The 20,185-nt window shown below is 34.0% G+C and overlaps 1 annotated feature.

Moving 5' to 3' along the window:
- Window positions 7,233-7,781: an enhancer, noted in NCBI's record as "NANOG hESC enhancer chr18:37906782-37907330 (GRCh37/hg19 assembly coordinates)". NCBI's record gives its function as "activates a minimal SCP1, AML or CMV promoter by ChIP-STARR-seq in naive H9 embryonic stem cells {active_cell/tissue: H9 hESC(naive)}" and the evidence as "EXISTENCE:reporter gene assay evidence [ECO:0000049][PMID:30033119]".

Consider the following 20,185-nt stretch of genomic DNA (forward strand, 5'->3'; position numbering starts at 1 on the left):
GTAGAAGAACTGAAATAAGAATCAGGTTTTATAACTCTGCACAGGCATATACTCCATTCAGAAATAGAATTGAATTCACTTCAACTGAAGCCCAGAGCTGTTCTACAAAAGAAGTAAAAGGTATAATATTTTTTCTCTCAATAGCCTTACACTGTCTACAAAACACACAAGCAAAGCAGATGATTCTTTTTGACCACAGACAACTCTAACCTAAACTGAATCCGTTGAAATAGGAAATGTGTGATATTCTGGTCCAGAAACCTTAATGAAGGTAGCCATTAAGTTGAGCTTTGATGGATAGCAGGAGATAGGTACTTTACTATAATATATATACAGAAGTGTGTAGAGTCAGGAATTTTTTTAAATGGAAATGAGAATCACATATGAATGTGATAAAGACAGGAGAAACTGTATACTGTTATCTTCTTAAATTAATAAGACTGAAACATTTTAGTCATGAGGAATGTCCCCCCGTTTTTTTTTTTTTTACTTTTAGAGTCTTTTACTGGGTTATCAAACTATTCTTGAATAAAAGTAAAAGTGAAAAGTGTATCTTAGTCTTTTTGAGCTTCTGTATAAAAAGACCATAACACTGCTAAGTTATGAACAACAGAAATGTATGTCCTACAAAATAATATCAAAAATTATAATTATTTTAATTATATCATTAATTTGTTGGCAAACTTGATAAAGCAGTTATACTATTTATTTTCCTGCATCAGTGAGAGTTCATGTTCCACATCCTGAATGTAAATCAGTGTGTAAAACATAGAAGAAAAATAAAGTTCAGAAATTATATAGTAAGCAATGTCATACCATAAATAATAATTGTATTAAAATATTCTTATCACAGACTCTCTTCTTTCTCATCTTTATGAATCCAAAAAATTCATAAACAACTTAGCCTAGTTTTTCCCTCTGAAATTTAAATCTGCTGCTTTTTTTCCCCACTTAAACTGTTTTCTGGGTTACTTCAGTATCAGTGCTAATTGTTTTAGATTTCTGCTTCTGCCCAAGATGGATTAACAGGGACAGATTTGTCCTCCCTTCTGAAGCTACAAATATAAAGATGATAAAGGCAATTTTACAAGTTTTCAAGACACTGAATGTTAGGTAGCAAAAAAGAGTTATCTCTGAAAGACAGAAAACAAATGAATGAGTTGTATGATTTCTCTAGCTTACTGCCATGAGAATTTTTGGGCTACAAGGCATCCAAGTGGACTCATGCACTTGAGGAGATGGAATTAAAATTCTGAGGAAACCAAGGCAGCTAGAATTCACAGGACAGAGTACCAGGAAGGAGAGACTATGCAAAGAGCACATGCTGGAGAGCTATACAGGGTTCTTCTAAGGTACTTAATCTTCTAAGGTACTTAGCAGAGTACTAATAAATGCAACCCCATAAGGAAAATATCTGAAACTATGGTAAAGGTCAACTGAAAGAATTAGAAGAAACACCACTCAGCATTCAATCACATCTTCGAAAAGCATCACCATTCCCGTAGGACCCATTAGAAAAAAAAATCATAGTTCATGGGACATTAGAGATTTTGCCTTAGTAGTGGGAAATAATTACTGTAGGCTGAGCACTACTCTAGACCTGCCTAACAAATGATGAAGGTATCAAGCCTATAAGTATCGGAGTGTTTCTAAATAAATTAAGTGCATAGCAGAACAAAGCTCAAAAATATTTTTAAGAATACAAAAGTATATAGCATTTAACCAGGTAAAATTTAGAATGTTGGAAATATAATTACAGTATACTAGGTATGAACAGAAGTAGGAAAACATTTCCATATTGAGGAAAAGAATCAATCAACCGAAAGTGACCATGATGTGACAGAGATCTTAAAATTGTCAAAGATTGTTAAAACAGTTTTTATAACTCTATTCCATATGTACAAAAAGTTAATCAGAAGCATGAAAGATATAAAAGTGACCCAAATGAGAGTTCAACCAATGACAACTACAATGACTAAAATAAAAAATAACCTGGGTAGAATTAAGGGCAGATTAGACAGAAAAAATGATTAGTTAACTTCAAGATATAGCTCAGTTGGCTTCACTGGTGAATTATTCCAAACATTTAAGGAATAAATAATAAACATTCTACACAAACTCTTCCAGAAAACTGAAAGGAGGAAATCTTTCCCACGTAACTCTGTGAAATAAGCATTATCTGCTACCAAAACCAGGCAATTACATTAAAAGAACAGAAATGAAACATTCAATTATCTCATAAATCTTCTTTCTAAACAAAATTTGATGAATCCAACTATATGGTTTGTGTCTCCATCCAAATCTCATTTGAATTATAATCCCCAATGTGGTAGGAGACGCCTGGTAGGAGGTGATTGGATCATGGGGCAAATTTCCCCTTTGCTGTTCTTGTGATAGTGAGTGAGCTCTCACGAGATCTGGTTGTTCAAAACTATGTCGCATCTCCCCCTTCACTCTCTTCTTTCTTCTCTGGCTGTATAAGATATACCTCCTTCCTCTTCCCCTTCCACCATGTTCATAAGTTTCCTGAGGCCTCCCCAGCCATATTTCCTGTACAGCCTGTGGAACCATGAGCCGATTAAACCTCTTCTCTTCATAAATTATCCAGTCTCAGGGAGTTCTTTTTAGCAATAGAAGAACAGAATAATACACCCAAAATACATATGACATATAATATGACATGACCAGGTAGTATTTATTCCAGGAATTCAGGATTGGTCTAACATGCAATTCATTATATTAACAGACTAAAAAATATAGTCGTTCAAAAAGACACAGGAAAAATGTTTTATAAAGTCCAGTATCTATTCTTGTTAAAAACTCTTGGCAAGTCAGGGATAGAGGGAACTTCTTCAACCTTAAATATAATAACTACAAAAAACACATAGTTAATATCACACTTAATGGGTGAAAGACTGAATTACTTTCCCCTAAGATCAGAACAAGTTGAAGATGTCTGCCCTCACCAATTCTGTCCAACTTTTTCCTAAAGTTTCTAATCAGTGCAATGAAGAAAATAAAAGACATTCAGGTTGGAAATGAGAAAGTAAAACTGTCTTTATTGAGAGAAAACTTCAGTGTCTATACAGAGTTGAATGAGATCTACAAAAGCTACAAAGCTAGTAAGCCACTTAAGCAAGATTACAGAATACAAGATCAATCAATTTATCAAAATCAATTATACCTCTATATGTTAGTGTTAATATTTGAAACTTAAAATTTGAAGACTAAGATTTATAATAGTATAAAAATGAAATACTTAGCTGTAAATCTGACAGGAGAAGTGAAAAACCTGTCTACTGAAATTGCAAAATATTGAGGCAATAAATTTAAGAACTAAATAGAGAGACATACTTTGTCCCACAGGTCAGAAGGCTGCAGAAGACTGTGTATTGTTTTTTTTATTTTTATTCTTATTTTTATTTTATTTGAGATGGAGTCTCACTCTGTCATCCAGGCTGGAGTGCAGTGGCATGATCTCGGCTCACTGCAACCTCAGCTTCCCAGGTTCAAGCGATTCTACTGCCTCAGCCTCCCAAGTAGCTGGGATTAAAGGCACGTGCCATGCTCAGCTAATTTTTTTGTATTTTTAATAGAGTCCAGGTTTCACCATGTTGGCCAGGCTGGTCTCAAACTCCTCAACTCAAGTGATCTGCCTGTCCTGGCCTCCCAAAGTGCTGGGATTACAGGCTTGAGCCTCTGTGCCTGGCCACAACTTTAGTTTAGACAAAGATTTCTCAGATAAAAATTCAACACCATGATCTACTTATAAAGTTATATAATGGACTTCATCAAATCTTCTTCACATCAAAAGATACTGTTAAGATAGTAAAAGGATAAGCCACCACCTGGGAAAACAATATTTGCAAAACATACATCTAATAATGAACTTGTTTCCTAAATATATAAATAACTCTTAAATCTCATAAATAAGAAACAACACATTTTTAAATGGGCACAATATATGAACAATTTACAAAAGAATATATACAGTTGACAAATAAATGTATGGAAATATGCTAAATAACATTAGCCTTTAAAGAAATCTAAGTTGAAACTACAACAGGATACTGCTGCACATATTATAATATCTAAAATTAAAAAGACCAAAACATCAAGTGTTTGTGAAAATACAGAGGAACTGGAACTCTCACACAGTTGGTGGGGACCTAAGATAGCACAACACTTTGGATAACATTGTGTTAGTTTCTTATAAAGTAAAACCTATGCCTACCATATTATTTACAGTTCACTCACTCCCAAATATTTATATATCTATACAAAAGAATTGGGGGAAAGGATTAAGCATGTGTACTTACAAAGACTTATAAAGTCTGGTACAGGAATGTTCATGGTAGCTATATCTGAATAGACAACATCTGGAAATAATAGAAATAAGAAAATGGATAAGTAAAATTGTATTTTATAGATGTAATGGAATACTATTTACAAATAAAATGGAAGAAACAATTGATACACAAAACACAGATAAATATCAAAGCAGTTATACTGTTTTAAATATATATAATTCCACATTTTAAAAAGAGATCCTTCCCAGGCGCTGTGGCTCACGCCTGTGATCCCAGCACTTTGGGAGTCCAAGGCAGGTGGCTCACTTGAGTCCAGGAGTTTGAGATCATCCTGGGCAACATGGTAAAACCTCATTTCTACAAAACATGAAACAAGAAAAATTAGCTTGGTGTGGTGGCATATGTCACAGCTACTCTGGAGGCTGAGCTGGTAGGATCACTTAAGCCCAGAAGGATGAGGCTGCAGTAAACTGTGATTTTTTTTTTTTTTTGGAATTCCTTATTATTATTATTTTTATTATTATTATACTTTAAGTTTTAGGGTACATGTGCACAATGTGCAGGTTAGTTACATATGTATACATGTGCCATGCTGGTGTGCTGCACCCATTAACTAGTCATTTAGCATTAGGTATATCTCCTAATGCTATCCCTCCCCCCTCACCCCACCCCACAACAGTCCCCAGAGTGTGATGTTCCCCTTCCTGTGTCCATGTGTTCTCATTGTTCAATTCCCATCTATGAGTGAGAACATGCAGTGTTTGGTTTTTTGTCCTTGCGATAGTATACTGAGAATGATGATTTCCAATTTCATCCATGTCCCTACAAAGGACATGAACTCATTTTTTATGGCTGCATAGTATTCCATGGTGTATATGTGCCACATTTTCTTAATCCAGTCTATCATTGTTGGACATTTGGGTTGGTTCCAAGTCTTTGCTATTGTGAATAGTGCCGCAATAAACATACGTGTGCATGTGTCTTTATAGCAACGTGATTTATAGTCCTTTGGGTATATACCCAGTAATGGGATGGCTAGGTCAAATGGTATTTCTAGTTCTAGATACCTGAGGAATCGCCACACTGACTTCCACAATGGTTGAACTAGTTTACAGTCCCACCAACAGTGTAAAAGTGTTCCTGTTTCTCCACATCCTCTCCAGCACCTGTTGTTTCCTGACTTTTTAATGATTGCCATTCTAACTGGTGTGAGATGGTATCTCATTGTGGTTTTGATTTGCATTTCTCTGATGGCCAGTGATGATGAGTATTTTTTCATGTGTCTTTTGGCTGCATAAATGTCTTCTTTTGAGAAGTGTCTGTTCATATCCTTTGTCCACTTTTTGATGGGGTTGTTTGTTTTTTTCTTGTAAATTTGTTTGAGTTCATTGTAGATTCTGGATATTAGCCATTTGTCAGATGAGTAGGTTGCTAAAATTTTCTCCCATTTTGTAGGTTGCCTGTTCACTCTGATGGTAGTTTCTTTTGCTGTGCAGAAGCTCTTTAGTTTAATTAGATCCCATTTGTCAATTTTGGTTTTTGTTGCCATTGCTTTTGGTGTTGTAGACATGAAGTCCTTGCCCATGCCTATGTCCTGAATGGTATTGCCTAGGTTTTCTTCTAGGGTTTTTATGGTTTTAGGTCTAAAGTTTAAGTCTTTAATCCATCTTGAATTAATTTTTGTATAAGGTGTAAGGAAGGGATCAAGCTTCAGCTTTCTACATATGACTAGCCAGTTTTCCCAGCACCATTTATTAAATAGGGAATCCTTTCCCCATTTCTTGTTTCTGTCAGGTTTGTCAAAGATCAGATAGTTGTAGATATGCGGCGTTATTTCTGAGGGTTCTGTTCTGTTCCATTGATCTATATCTCTGTTTTGGTACCAGTACCATGCTGTTTTGGTTACTGTAGCCTTGTAGTATAGTTTGAAGTCAGGTAGCGTGATGCCTCCAGATTCCATGCTCATGGGTAGGAAGAATCAATATTGTGAAAATGGCCATACTGCCCAAGGTAATTTATAGATTCAATGCCATCCCCATCAAGCTACCAATGACTTTCTTCACAGAATTGGAAAAAACTGCTTTAAAGTTCACATGGAACCAAAAAGGAGCCTGCATCGCCAAGTCTATCCTAAGCTAAACTGTGATCTTGCCACTGCACTCCAACCTAGGCAGCAAAGGGAGATCCTGTGTCAAGAAGAAGGAGAAGAAGGAGAAGGAGGAGAAGAAGAAGAAGAAGAAGAAGAAGGAGAAGAAGGAGAAGGAGAAGGAAAAGAAGAAGAGGAAGAGGGAGAGGAAGAAGATGAAGAAAAGGAGAAGATGAAGAAGAGAGATCTAGTAAATGCAAAAAAAAACAGATCAATGATTGTCTGGAGATGGTTGGAAGGGAGGCATTATAAAGGATGAAAAGAAACATTTGAGATGATGAATGTTTCTGATTTTTACTGCAGTGATGGTTTCACAGGTGTATACATTTATCAAAATGAAATAAATTGTATACTTTGAGTATGTGCATTTTGTGATATGTCAATCATACCTGATTTATACAAAAAACCTTCCTTATCAATTTTTCCACTTCTTTTACCTTCTTTTCTCATTCTATGACAAAATCCATTCTCTTGTATTCTAAGTTTTCAGTCTTTCTCTTGATCTGAGATTTGCATCTCATAAAATCAGAATGGATAGACAGAAAATTTTAATTAAGTTGTAATACATAGAGAAAGGGCTAAAAAAATAAAATAAGAAAATCTCTCAATTATTATACTCGACTATATTGTATTATAAATCATTAGTCTTTCTTTCTCTCTTGTCCGGTAAACCATGTGATCTCTGAGTGCCTTATTAATCTTTTTTTCGTATAATTCTGACACACAGTCATCCTTTAATATGTTATTTTAAGTGGATGAATGAATGATGTCTTGCCTTAAGAATATAACAATTTAATGGGAAAGACAAGACATAAATCTGAGGGCTATAAAAACTCTTTCACATCATATAGGAACAATCAGGAAAAGAATTGCACCCTGGGTTGGAAAGGGTGCAAAACAGTATTGGTCACAATTAGTGCAACAACAAAAATCCAAGAGAAATAAAGGAATAAGGTACATTTGAGGTGGATGGTAATCATTTGACTATTTTCACCACATAGCCATCCATCTCCTGCCCTTTCAACTCACCTGCCACTCCTCTCTTTTTTACACAGTCAATTGAGTGTTTTTATTCTTTAGTTAAAGGTTTCCTGTTGCTCCTTTGTGCTCCGCCCGGCTTCTGCCATTTCTATTTCTCCTTCGCATGTCTACCTCAGGAAGGTGGCTTTCATACCTAAACGATGGGGTAAACACCAGTGTGAGAGACCACCGATTCCTATTCAGAAAAACGCTATTGAAATTGGAGCTGGTTTCTTGAAGATTTCACTGAACTGAAGCTCCTTCTTCCTTTATTTTACACAAAGAGGATTTTTCACCCTTAAGATGCTGGCCCATCTGTTAAAACCTCTTTCTCTTAAGCTGTACCTCTGCATGGCTTCCGTTATAAGCTTGGCTAAAGAATTCTTAATGAATTCCCCTTTATCAGCAAGACTCAGCTCTTGCAAGGAGGATTTGCTACTTTTAATTCTATATGGAACACAAATGGGTCACCAAATTGTTCTGTGCTATAACTGACAAGATTTGTTGCCATCATTTAATTACAATAAATTTTCAATTTTTGAGAGACTTCTTTAAGTTATATAACTGTACATATTAGGCATAAGGGGTATGGAAAAAAATGTGTCCAAGGTCCTGAATTGGACTTGGGAAAGCAATTATTTAAAGAAGGGCTGAGTTCTGGGATAGCAAGGGCCATGTAACACATGACTTCAGAGTAAGAAAACTTATGGAAGCCAACTACTTCCCAGAATTGGTGGACATAAACGTATATCAAAGCAGTCATAGAATTATAATTATCAAGACATTTGGGGATGTTGCAGTTTGAAGATAGACTATTTAGATTTCTAGTTGAGGGAAGGCTCAGAGGAGATACAGTTTGCTGCAGCGATCTTCCCTTCCTGTGAATGTTACTCCAATTGTTGCCTGAATAAATAATATGCTAGTTCACCATATAGTGTGTTCTATAGTAGTCTTGAAGTATACCTGAAATAAGTCTCTATGCTTATCCTACATTTCCCCAAATTATATGATTCTCAGGGGCAAAGCCCATGTGTGCTTGGTTTACAATGGGTGGTGGCACAGTCTCTTACTTATAGTTTGTGTTCAATAAATATGTTAATTTTTGATTTCACTACAATTTTTTAAACTGAATGTAGCTTGTATGGTAAATTAGTATAATAGAATCAAAGCAAATATTGTAAAATCTTGACAAACATAAAACGCATTAAAAGAAGTACTACTTAAAGTCCGTTGTAGAAGCAGCATGAATCACACTACTAGGTAGATGTTGAATGGTTTGGGAGGTAGAAAGGAAAAATTAAACATTAACGGATGAAAATGCAAACTTGTATATTTAGGAGACATGTCTAACTTTTGAAATTACAAGAATGTAACAACAACCACAGCAACAAAAATCCACGAGTTGTACTTATTTTCTCAGATAGCATGAGAATTTGCTTCTTTTGCTTTTGATTCTTAGGCATTCTTGTGATCTTGATGGACTGTGATCTTGAGGCACTTAACTGATATCATTAGTATTCATCTTCTTTGGCTGCTATAAAAAAATACCACAAAGTTGGTAGCTTATGACAACAGAAATTTATTTCCTCACTGTTCTAGAAGACAGAGTCCTGAAATCAGTATCACTGGTCCAAAATAATGGCATCAACAGTGCCACGCTTCCTCTGTAGGTTCTAGAGGAAAATCCTTTCTTTTCTTCCTCTGACTTCTCGTAGATGCTGGCATTCCATGGCTTTTGCCTACGTAATTCCAAAGGTTCCTCTGTAGTCAGGTGACCTGATCTTTTTCTGTTTGTCAAGTCTCCCTGTACCTTTCTCTTACATATACACTTGTGATTACATTTAGTGCACAGCATATAACTCAGTATGATCTCTTGATCTCAAGGTCTTTTACTTAACACTCATGCGTAGATTCTTTCTGCAAATAACGTAGCATTTTTAGGTTTCAGAGATTGGGACCTGGTAACATTGGAGTCAATTATCAGCCTATCATAATAGCTATTATTGTATTGCTGTTATTACATGTAGCATAATGGGCTAGAATTTTGATTTTGTAATTGGACAGAGCTGAGTTCATATCCCTGTATCAGCTAAAACATACTGAAAAAAATGAACCTCTCTGTGGTTCAGTTTTCCCAACTGTTAAATGAGTATATGTATGAATAGTTTATCACACTATTGTTATAATGATGAAATAGGATAGTGTATATAACATTTTAGCACAGTTTGTACTTTTGTAAAACATAAATTCAACATAAATTATAGGTACCATTATTTTTACTAAATTAATAAAACTACTAATTTATTCAAAGCAAAATGTCAGTTAATCTAAAGGTTATAAAATTTCATAAAGTTTTAGCTGCTGTTTTCAGAAGTTTGTAATTGCTGAGATAAAATTCACATGCATAAAACATACCAGAAAATTAGAAAATGTATACTGGAAATCATAAATGCTAGAGCTGGGCAAAATAACCATTAATCAAGGTCATGGACAAAGTTTTTCCTTTTTCCAATTTTTAAAATTGTGATAAAAGATGTTTCATATGAAACTTATCATTTTAATTATTTTTAAGTGTACAATCCAGTGTTATTCATAATATTTGACAATCATAGCCATCATCATTTTTCATCTTATAAAACTAAAGCTCTACACCCATTTATCTCCTCATTCCCCCACTCCCTAGCCACAGGCAACAGCCATTCTATTTTTGTATTTATGATTTCAACTACCTTAAGTACCTCATATAAGTGGAATCATATAAAATTTTTCTCTTTTGTGATTGGCTTATTTCTCTTAGCATAATATTCTACAGGCACATCCGTGGTGAGCATATTTCAAAATTTCCTTCCTTTTTAAGGATGAGAAATAATTCATGGTATGTATATATACCACATTTGGATTATCCATTCATTCATTGATGAATGTGTGGGTTGCTTCAAAATTTTAGCTATTATTAATAATGTTGCTATAAACCATGGGCATACAAACATCTTTTTGAAACCTTGCCTTCAATTATTTTGGATATGTACTCAGAAGTGGAATTTCTGAATCATATGCTAATTCTGTTTCTAAGTTTTTGAGGATCCACCATACTGCTTTCCACAGTGGCTGCATGATTTTACATTCTCACCAACAGTGCACAAAGGTTCCAATTTCTTCATATCCTTGGCAACATTTGTTGTTTTCAGTCTTTTTGATAGTAACCATCCTAATAGGTGTGAGGTAAAATCTCATTAGGGTTTTGATTTACATTCTCAGATAATTAGTGATGATGAGCATCTTGTCATGTGGTTAGTAGTCATTTAGATATCTTTTTTGGAGAAATGTCTATTCAAGTCCCTTGCTTATGTTGAATCATTTTTGTTTTTTGTTGTTGAGTTTTAGAAGTTTTCTATGTAATTTGGATATTAATTCTCTACCGGATATGTTACTTGCAAATATTTTTTCCCACTTACAAATATTTTCTCCCTTGCCTTACTTTTTACACTGTTCATGTTGTTTTCGTGTACATTTTAATGAATAAATTTATTAAATCTAATTTATTTTTTCCTTTTGTTGCCTGTGCCTTTAGTATCATTTCCAAGAAATCATTGCCAAATCTACCATCATTAAGATTTTGTCCTTTGTTTTCTTCTAGGGGTTTTATAGTTTTAGGTTTTAAATGTAGGTATTTGATTTATTTGCCTTTGTTTTTGTATATGGTATTAAGTAAGGGTTCAGCTTCATTCTTTTAAATGTCGATGTTCAGTTTTCTCAGCAATATTTATTGAGCAGACTGTCTTTTCCCCATTAAATCACCTTGGCACACATGTTAAAAAACAATTGACCGTATATTCAAGGAGGTGTTTCTGAGTTCTCTATTCCATTTCATTTGTCTAAATGTCTATCTTTATGCCACTACCACACTATTTTGATTACTGTAGTTTTGTAGTAAATTTTGAAAAGATGAAATGTGATTCCCTTATCTGTGTTCTTATTTTTCAAAATTATTTTTGCTATTCAGGATCCCTTGGGATTCCATATGAATTTCAGAATAGATTTTCCTACATCAGTAAAAAATGTCATTGGAATTTTGAGAGGAATTTCACTGAATCTATCGATTACTTAAGTAGCATTGTTATCTTAACAATATTAAGTCTTATAATCCATGAACATAAGATGTGTTTTCATTATTTTATGTCTTCTTTAATTTGTTTCAGCAATGTTTTGTAGTATTCGTTGTGCAACTCTTTCACTTTCATTAATCACACTATTTTATTATTTTAGATGCTGTACTAAATAAAATTATTTTTAATTTTTCCTGTACAGATTGTTCACTCTTAATGTGTAGAAATGCAACTGATTTTTTGCATGTTGACCATGTATCCTGCTATTTTGCTTAATTTATTAGTTTTACAGTTTGTGTGTATGTGTGTAACCTTTACATACAAGAGTTTTCTTTTTTATTATTATTATACTTTAAGTTCTAGGGTACATGTGCACAACGTGCAGGTTTGTTACATAGGTTTACATGTGCCATGTTAGTTTGTTGCACTCATTAACTCATCATTTACATTGGGTATTTCTCCTAATGCTATCCCTTCCCCAGTCCCTCATCCCATGACAGGCCCTGGTGTGTGATGTTCCCCTCCTTGTGTCCAAGTGTTCTCATTGTTCAATTCCCACCTATGAGTGAGAACATGCAGTGTTTGGTTTTCTGTCCTTGTGATAGTTTGCTCAGAACAATGGTTTCCAGGTTCATTCATGTCCCTGCAAGGGACAGGATCTCATCCTTTTTTATGACTGCATAGTATTCCATGGTGTATACGTGCCACATTTTCTTAATCCAGTCTATCATTGATGGATATTTGGGTTGGTTCCAAGTCTTTACATACAAGAGTTTTCTACATACAAAATCATATCAGCTGTGAGCAGAGATAATTTTATACTTTTCTTTCCAATTTAGAAGTCCTTAATTTCTTTTTTACTTGCCTAATTTCTAGCCTGATTGGTCTAGTACTTTCATTACTATATTAAATAGAAATGGCAAAAATTAGTGTCCTTTTTTGTTTCATATCTTAGGGGAAAATCTTTCAGTCTTTCACCATTGAGTGTGATGCTAACTGTGAATTTTTAATATATGACCTTTATTATGTAGAGCTAATTTCCTTTTGTTCCTAGTTTTTGAGCATTTTTAATCATGAAAGAATGTTGAATTTTGTCAAATGTTTTTGCTGCAGCAATGGAAATAAACATTAGTATAGTTTGGATATTTGTCCCCACCCAAATATTATGTAGAAATATAATGCTCAGTGTTAGAGGTGGGGCCTGGTGGGAGGTGTTTGGACCAATGGGGCAGATTCTTCATGACAGGCTTGTGCCATTCCCTTGGTGATAAGCAAGGTCTCACTCTGAGTTCACATAAGATCTCGTCATTTAAAAGTGTGTGGCACCTTCCCTGCCACCTCTCTTTCTCACTTGCTCTTGCTTTCAACATGTGATGTGCCTGTTTCCTTTTCACCTTTCACCTTAATTGAAAGCCCTCTGTAAGACCTCCCTAGAAGCAAAGCAGATGCCAGAACTATGCTTCCTGTAAATCCTTTTGAACTGTGAGCCAATTAAACCTCAATTTTTTTGTTTTTTATAAATTACCCAATTTCAGGTAGTTCTTTACAGCAAGCAAGAATGGCCTAATACAAAAATGTTTTGTTTTGTTTTTCCTTTCATTCTGTTGGTATGATATATTACATTAATTTTCCTATGTTGAACCATCCTTGCATTGTAGGAATAAATCCCACTTGGTCTGGTGTATAATCTTGTTAATATCCTGATAAATTTAGTTTTCTAGTATTTTGTTGAGGATGTTTTTCACCAGTGTTCATAAGGGTCTTGTAGTTTTCTTTTGGTGATTTAGTTTGGCTTTAATATCAGGACAGTGCTGCTTCATAGGATACATTAGGAAGTACTCTTTCCTCTTGAATTTTCTGGAAATGTCTGGGAAGGATTGGTGTTAGTCAGAATTAATCAGGGAAGCCATCAGGTCCAGAATTTTTCTTTATTAGAAGATTTTGGGGTACTGATTCAATATTCTTACTTGTTATAGGTCTATTCTTATATTCTATTTTATGATTTTTCATGATTTTTCTTGGTAGATTTTGTGTTTTTAAGAATTTGTTCATTTTATATGTTTTCTGTTTTTTGGGGGTACAATAGTTGATAGTATTCTCCTATATTTTCTATTTCTACAGATTGGTAGTGATGTCCATACTTTCATTTCTGACTTTAGTAATTTATTTTTTTGTCATAATTCACCTAGCTGAAGGTTTGTCAATTTTGAGTATCTTATCCAAGAACTATCTTTTGATTTCATTGATTTTCTCTACTGTTTTGACAGTATATATTTTGTTTAATCTCTGCTGTAATCTTTGTTATATTCTTCTTTCTGCTAGCTTTGGCTTTAGCTTATTCTTCTTTTTCTGGTTCCTTAAGTTGTAATGTCAGATTGTTGATTTGAATTTGCTTTAACAAAAATGTTTATATCCATAAATTCTTCCCTTAGCCTTGCTTTCACTGTTTCCCATAATTTTGAAATTTTTGTATTTTTGTTTCATTTATCTTCAAGTATTTTTTATGTTTTCATTGTGATTTCTTCCTCGTTCCATTGGTTTCTGATGACCATGTTATTTAATTTATGCAAATTTGTGAATTTTTGCTTTTTATTTCTGTTATTGATTTCTAATTTCATCCTGTTTTGGTCAGAGAAGATACTCTGCATGTTATCTGTCTCTCTAAATCTATTGATACTCAGTTTGCTGCCTAACATATGGTCTATCCTGGAATGTCCCATGTGTACTTCAAGAGGTACATGCTGTTTTTGTTGACTAGATTGTTCGGTATATCTCTGTTATATCTGGTTGGTTTATTGAGTTGTTTAAGTACTTTTTTTTTTATTAATTTCTGTCTGTTTTTTTCATCCATTATTGAGAGCGAGGTATTGAAATTTCCAACTAATATGGTAGAACTATCAATTTCTTCCTTGAGTTCTGTAATTTTTGCTTAATGTATGTTGAGGGTCTTTAATTAGATGCATGAATATTTTTAGATATTTCTACTGTATGGAAGCTTTTATTAATATAATGTCCTCTTTTATGTCTTGCAAACAATTTTTATTTAAATTCTACTTTATCTGATATAGTCATCCCTGCTCTCTTTTGGTTACTATGTAGATGGAATATATATTTTTTCCTATTATTTCACTTTCAATCTATTTGTGTTTTTAGATCTAAAGTGAGTCTCTTGTACACAGAATACAATGAAATCATATTTTAAATCCATTCTTTTAATTGATATTGTTTCACTGAAGAATGTAAACATTAACATTCGAAGTAACTAATGAGAGAGTAACTCTCATTAAAATAACTTCTCACTTTGCTCTTTGTTTTCTATTTGCTCTTTGTTTCCTATATGCTTTACAGCTTCTTTGTCCTTCAGTTTCTATATTACTGTCTTTCATGTTTGATTGACTTTTTAATAGTGAAATGTTTAAATTTATTTCTCACCTTTTGTGTGTATTCCATAGCTATTTTTGTGTGTGTGGTTACTATGTGATTATAGTTACCATTCTAAAATTATATTAATTTGGATTTATGCCAAGTTAACTTCAATAACAGAGAAAATCTGTGCTCCTTTACACCTCCATCTCTACCTTTTCCTGTTGTTGATATCATAAAATTACATCTTTATATGTTGTGTGCCCCCAAATATAAAGTAATAATTATTTGACATACTTTAGTCAAATAAATTATGTAGAAAACAGAATGTAGTTACAAACAAAACATATAATAATACTATGTTTTATAATTGTCCACCTGTTTACCTTTTAATGATTTTTATTTCTTCATGCAGCTTCAAGTTACTGTCTTGTGTCCTTTCATTTCTCCTTCTGGAACTTCTTGAGTAGGACAAGTCTAGTAGTAACAACATTTTTCAACTTTTCTTTGTATGGGAATATTTTGGTTGGCAGATGCTTGGTTGACAGGATTTTAGTCATCTTTTAACACTTTGAATATATAGTCTATTTTTTATATTCATGGGTTATACATCTGGAGATTCAATCAACCCTGTATAAAGAATATTTTTTAATTCCACCTGTACTGAACAAGTGCAGAAGACATTTTTTCTTGTCATGATTCCCAAAATAATGGAGAATAACAATTATTTCCATAGGATTTACATAATATTTGGTATGTTGAAAAATCTAATTTGAATTTAATCTAATTGAACTTAAAATTCAAAGGAAGATGTGCATTTGTTATATGCAAATACAATGCCATTTTATATCAGAGACTTAAGCATGCACAGGTTTTGGTATCCATGGGAGGTCCTGGAACCAATCTTCCATGGATAGCAAGGGACAACTGTATTGGTCCATTGCATTCTGAACTCCAAAATTTTTAATAAGAAATCTGATAATTTTATAGAGAATCCCATGTTTGTAATTAACCACTATCCTCTTGCTTCTTATAAGATTTTTTATTTGTCTTTCTCTTTCAAAAGTTTGATTACAATATGGTTATCTTTGGGTTTATCTTACTTGAAATTTGTTGTGCTTCTTGGATATTTATGTTCATGTCTTGCATTAAAATTGGGAAGCTTTCAGCCATGTTTTTCTTCAAATATTCTCCCTCCCACTTTTCTCTTGCTCTTCTTCTTCTAGCGCTTCCATAATGTGTAAATTGGTCTACTTGATAGTATTCCACAGGTCCCTTAGACATTGTTCACTTTCTTTTTTTTTTCGGCTCCTCAAACTCTTTAATTGTCATTTTCCTATCTTTAAGGTTGCAAATTCTTTCATCTGCCTGCTCAAGTCTGCCTTTGAATTTGCCTAGGAAATTCTTCGTTATAATTATTGACCTTTTCAGCTCCAGAATTTCTTTTTTGATTTTGTTTTCAGTTTTCTATCTCTTTATGAACATTTCTGTTTTATGCTTACATAATTTTCTTGACTTTCTCTATGTATTCCTTTAATTATTTAAGCACCTTTATGACAGTTATTTAAAAGTCTGTGTCTAATAGATCTGCCATGAGGCCATGCTGGCTTTTTGTTATTGTCTTTGTTTATTTTTTTAAACTGTTGTAGGCTGTCTCTGTGCAAAACATTAAGTCTAAGATATAAACTTGCAATCTTTTTAGGTCTTTTCTAAGCCTACACATTTCCCAGGGTGTACACTCTCACTTTCTAATTTTTCCTGTACAAGAAGTTGCTTTTGAATATAGTAGTCATTAATGTCTGACTCCCAAAAGGAGAAAATGAGAAAAATGAAGAGTTTGGGGAAAGGATGACAGTCCTTTAAATTCCCTGGAAGTCACATCAGAGAGAGGGGGAAGGACTTGCAACAATGAGCGGAGGTGCAATAATAATGGTGACCTGCTTCTTCTTTTGAAACTAGGTGATCATAACCAGCAATCATCAATCAGAGCACAGATTCCCAATATTTGAAGAAAAGAGTCCTTCTTTCCCACCTTGGCTCCTGCAATTTGAGTGTAAGTTGCTCCAGGAACAAGTGCACAGCTGCATGCCACAGCTGCCCACTATAGAGCTGAGATGAAGGATAGGCAGCTGCCCCTGTTTATAGCTGAAATTGACTGAAATTTTCTGCAATTTCTTGTCCAAATCTTCCCATGGAAGTTTTGAAATTTCAGTAGCCTCCACAGTTCCAAAATGGTTACATCAGACATAATATTCCAGTGTAATTGTTTTCTGTGTAGGTAGACATATTTCTATTCCAACAGACAGATGGTAGAAAAATCCACCATCTTTCAAGAATCCTCTTGACATGACAGGTTTTTATACAAAAGTTTTAGATTACTGGCATTGACAGGTAGGAGATGAAAAGTCACATAGGAATAAAACGTGTGGTAGTAGGGAAGGATAGGAAATTGTAGTAAACAATTGATAAATCAGAACACAGAGGGCACAAGAAGACTGAAATAAAATACTAGAATGGTAGGCTGAAAACATACTGTGTTCAATGCACCAGACTAGAAACACATCTCTCTTTCTCTCTGTCTCTCTCTGTCTCGTGTGTGTGTGTGTGTGTGTGTGTGTGTGTGGTGCCTGTCCACTATGAGTTTTCACACAACATTTGCTTCATGAATGAATGAGAAGGTAAATGATGGATAAACAGAAATAAAACAACATATCCCTGAAGCAGAGACTACCTTGGCAAACAAGTTAAACCAGCATTTCTCAATCTTGGCATTATTGATATTTTTGGCTGGATTAAGTCTTCATCAGAGTTTGGGGAGATGGTGTCCTGTATATTGTGTATTGTAGTATTTTAACACTATCCCTGGTTTTTGATGCTAAGTGTCAATTTCACCCCTCCCCAAGTATGGCAATTAAAAATGTCTCCAGACATTGCCAAATGTCTTCATGAGTATGGTGGCAAAATACTTCAGGTTAAGAACTATTGGCTTAAAACAAATGAAGCATGGAGAAGTAATTTAAGTTGAGAAAAATTTCAGAAAAAAGGGAGTTGGGTTAGGATCAACTAAACATAGTAATATATTTCCAGATGACATATCTTATATTGACTTTACCTAGTAAAACTTAGAACTCCATTCTTCCAGCAATAGAATAATATAATAATTTTATAATCCAAAAATTTTTAAATTCAAAGATAGGTTCTATCATAAGTAATAACTTTCAATGAGAGAAAATCTCTATAAAACAAGAGGCACCATCCTTACGTTGATTTTTTAGAGTGGAGTATTGTGTAGTTCTGCATCTCATGTTTGCTCTACAGATGCTTTAAGGAAAACAAAGAAATCACATATATTGATTTCTGCAGCATTAAATACATTTATACATCAAAGCAAAAGAACACAGGAATGTTTCAATTTGTGTTGCATAATTAAACTTTCATTATTAAAAACATTCCATATTTTCTAGCAATTTTGATTTATATATGTGTATATATAAATAAATAAATATATTTAATATACATATAATATATAAGTAAATATATATATTTTTTCTTTTTCATAGTCAAACGCTTGCTTTTTGTATATCATGTTTTCTGGAATACAAGAAAACAGGCCATAAACATAAGAAAATAAAATATGCAATTGCCTGTTTAGCATGACAATTCAAAGAAATGATTTTGGAATGGTTCTATACTATAAATTTGATATTAGGAACTACGGGTGTAAAACTGGGCAAATTAAGTTCCCAGATAATACAAGAAATTCTGTTTTAAACATTATTTGAAATAAGCTATAGTTCTAGGTAAAATTATTAAGTTGCTAAAATTTTGAAGGGACATAGCTCCATTCCTTCTTCAATAGCATCTTTTCCTTGTTGAATGTACCAATCTCTGGGTATTTAATAGTCTAATATGTTCATGTTGTTATGTGGGTAATTTATTTATTTACTTGCTCAGCAATATTTATTTGATATTCGGCATGTACCATACAGTGTTCAATAATGGTACTATCAAGATGAACAACTTACAGGTTATCTATTCTTTTGAACCTTGTTTTTCTTCTTATTAAGATTTACATTTCTTATAATGTATAGTTTTCTGTTTACCCACAAGTTTTATTCTATTTTAAAGATAATATTAATAAATTATTACTATTGTATTTGTCAATGATACATGACTCCTCTCTGATAACAGATATCATATTAACAGAATATTTTTAAATTACAGATAACAGAAAATATAAGACTTTATAGCATTATTGCTCGATCATTTCAGTGAGGCCAGCAATATCTGGGAGTAAGGCCATATTGCAGAAGCGTTCTGACCACTTGAGCTATGGAGATTATATTTCTAATTACTCAGAGTACATATTTTTCCAATTTACCTAGTTTGGGAGCCAATAAATTTGTTTTGCCTTTTTTTATTTTTTAAATTTTGCTTAAAACAACAGAAGATTATTGGCTGGGTGTGGTGGCTCATGCCTGTAATCCCAGCACTTTGGGAAGCCGAGGTGGGCGGATCACGAGGTCAGGAGTTTGAGACCAGCCTGGCCAATGTGGTGAAACCCCGTCTCTACTAAAAATATAAAAATTGGCTGGACGTGGTGGCAGGCACCTGTAATCCCAGTTACTCAGGAAGCTGAGGCAGGAGAATCATTTGAACCCAGGAGGCGGAGGTTGCAGTGTGCTGAGATTGCGCCACTGGACTCCAGCCTGGGTGACAGAGTGAGACTCCATCTCACAAAAGCAAAAAACAAAAAATAGAAGATTATTATCTCATATTTCTGGAGGCTAGAAGTCCAAACTCAAGGGGTCTTTAAGGCCATCCTTTCTCCTAAGGCTCTAGAGATTTATCTTCCCTTGCCTATTTCTAGCTTATGGTGTGTATTAGCCCGTTTTCACACTGCTAATAAAGACGTACCCAAGACTGGGTAATTTATAAAGGAAAGAGGTTTAATTGGCTCACAGTTCCACGTGGCTGGGGAAGCCTCAGAACACTTAAATCGTGGCAGAATGAGGAGTAAACACGTCCTTCTTTACATGGTGGCAGCAAGAAGTGCCGAGCAAAAGGGGGAAAAGCCCCTTATTAAAACCATCAGATCTCATGAGAATTCACTCACTGTCATGAGACCATCATGAGGGTAACTGCCCCCATGATTAAATTATCTCCCATCTGGTTCCTCCCATGACAGGTGGGGATTATGGAAACTATAATTCAAAATGAGATTTGGGTGGGGACACAGC

This window comes from Homo sapiens, chromosome 18, assembly GCF_000001405.40.
Source record: "Homo sapiens chromosome 18, GRCh38.p14 Primary Assembly".
NCBI classification, from domain to species: domain Eukaryota; kingdom Metazoa; phylum Chordata; class Mammalia; order Primates; family Hominidae; genus Homo; species Homo sapiens.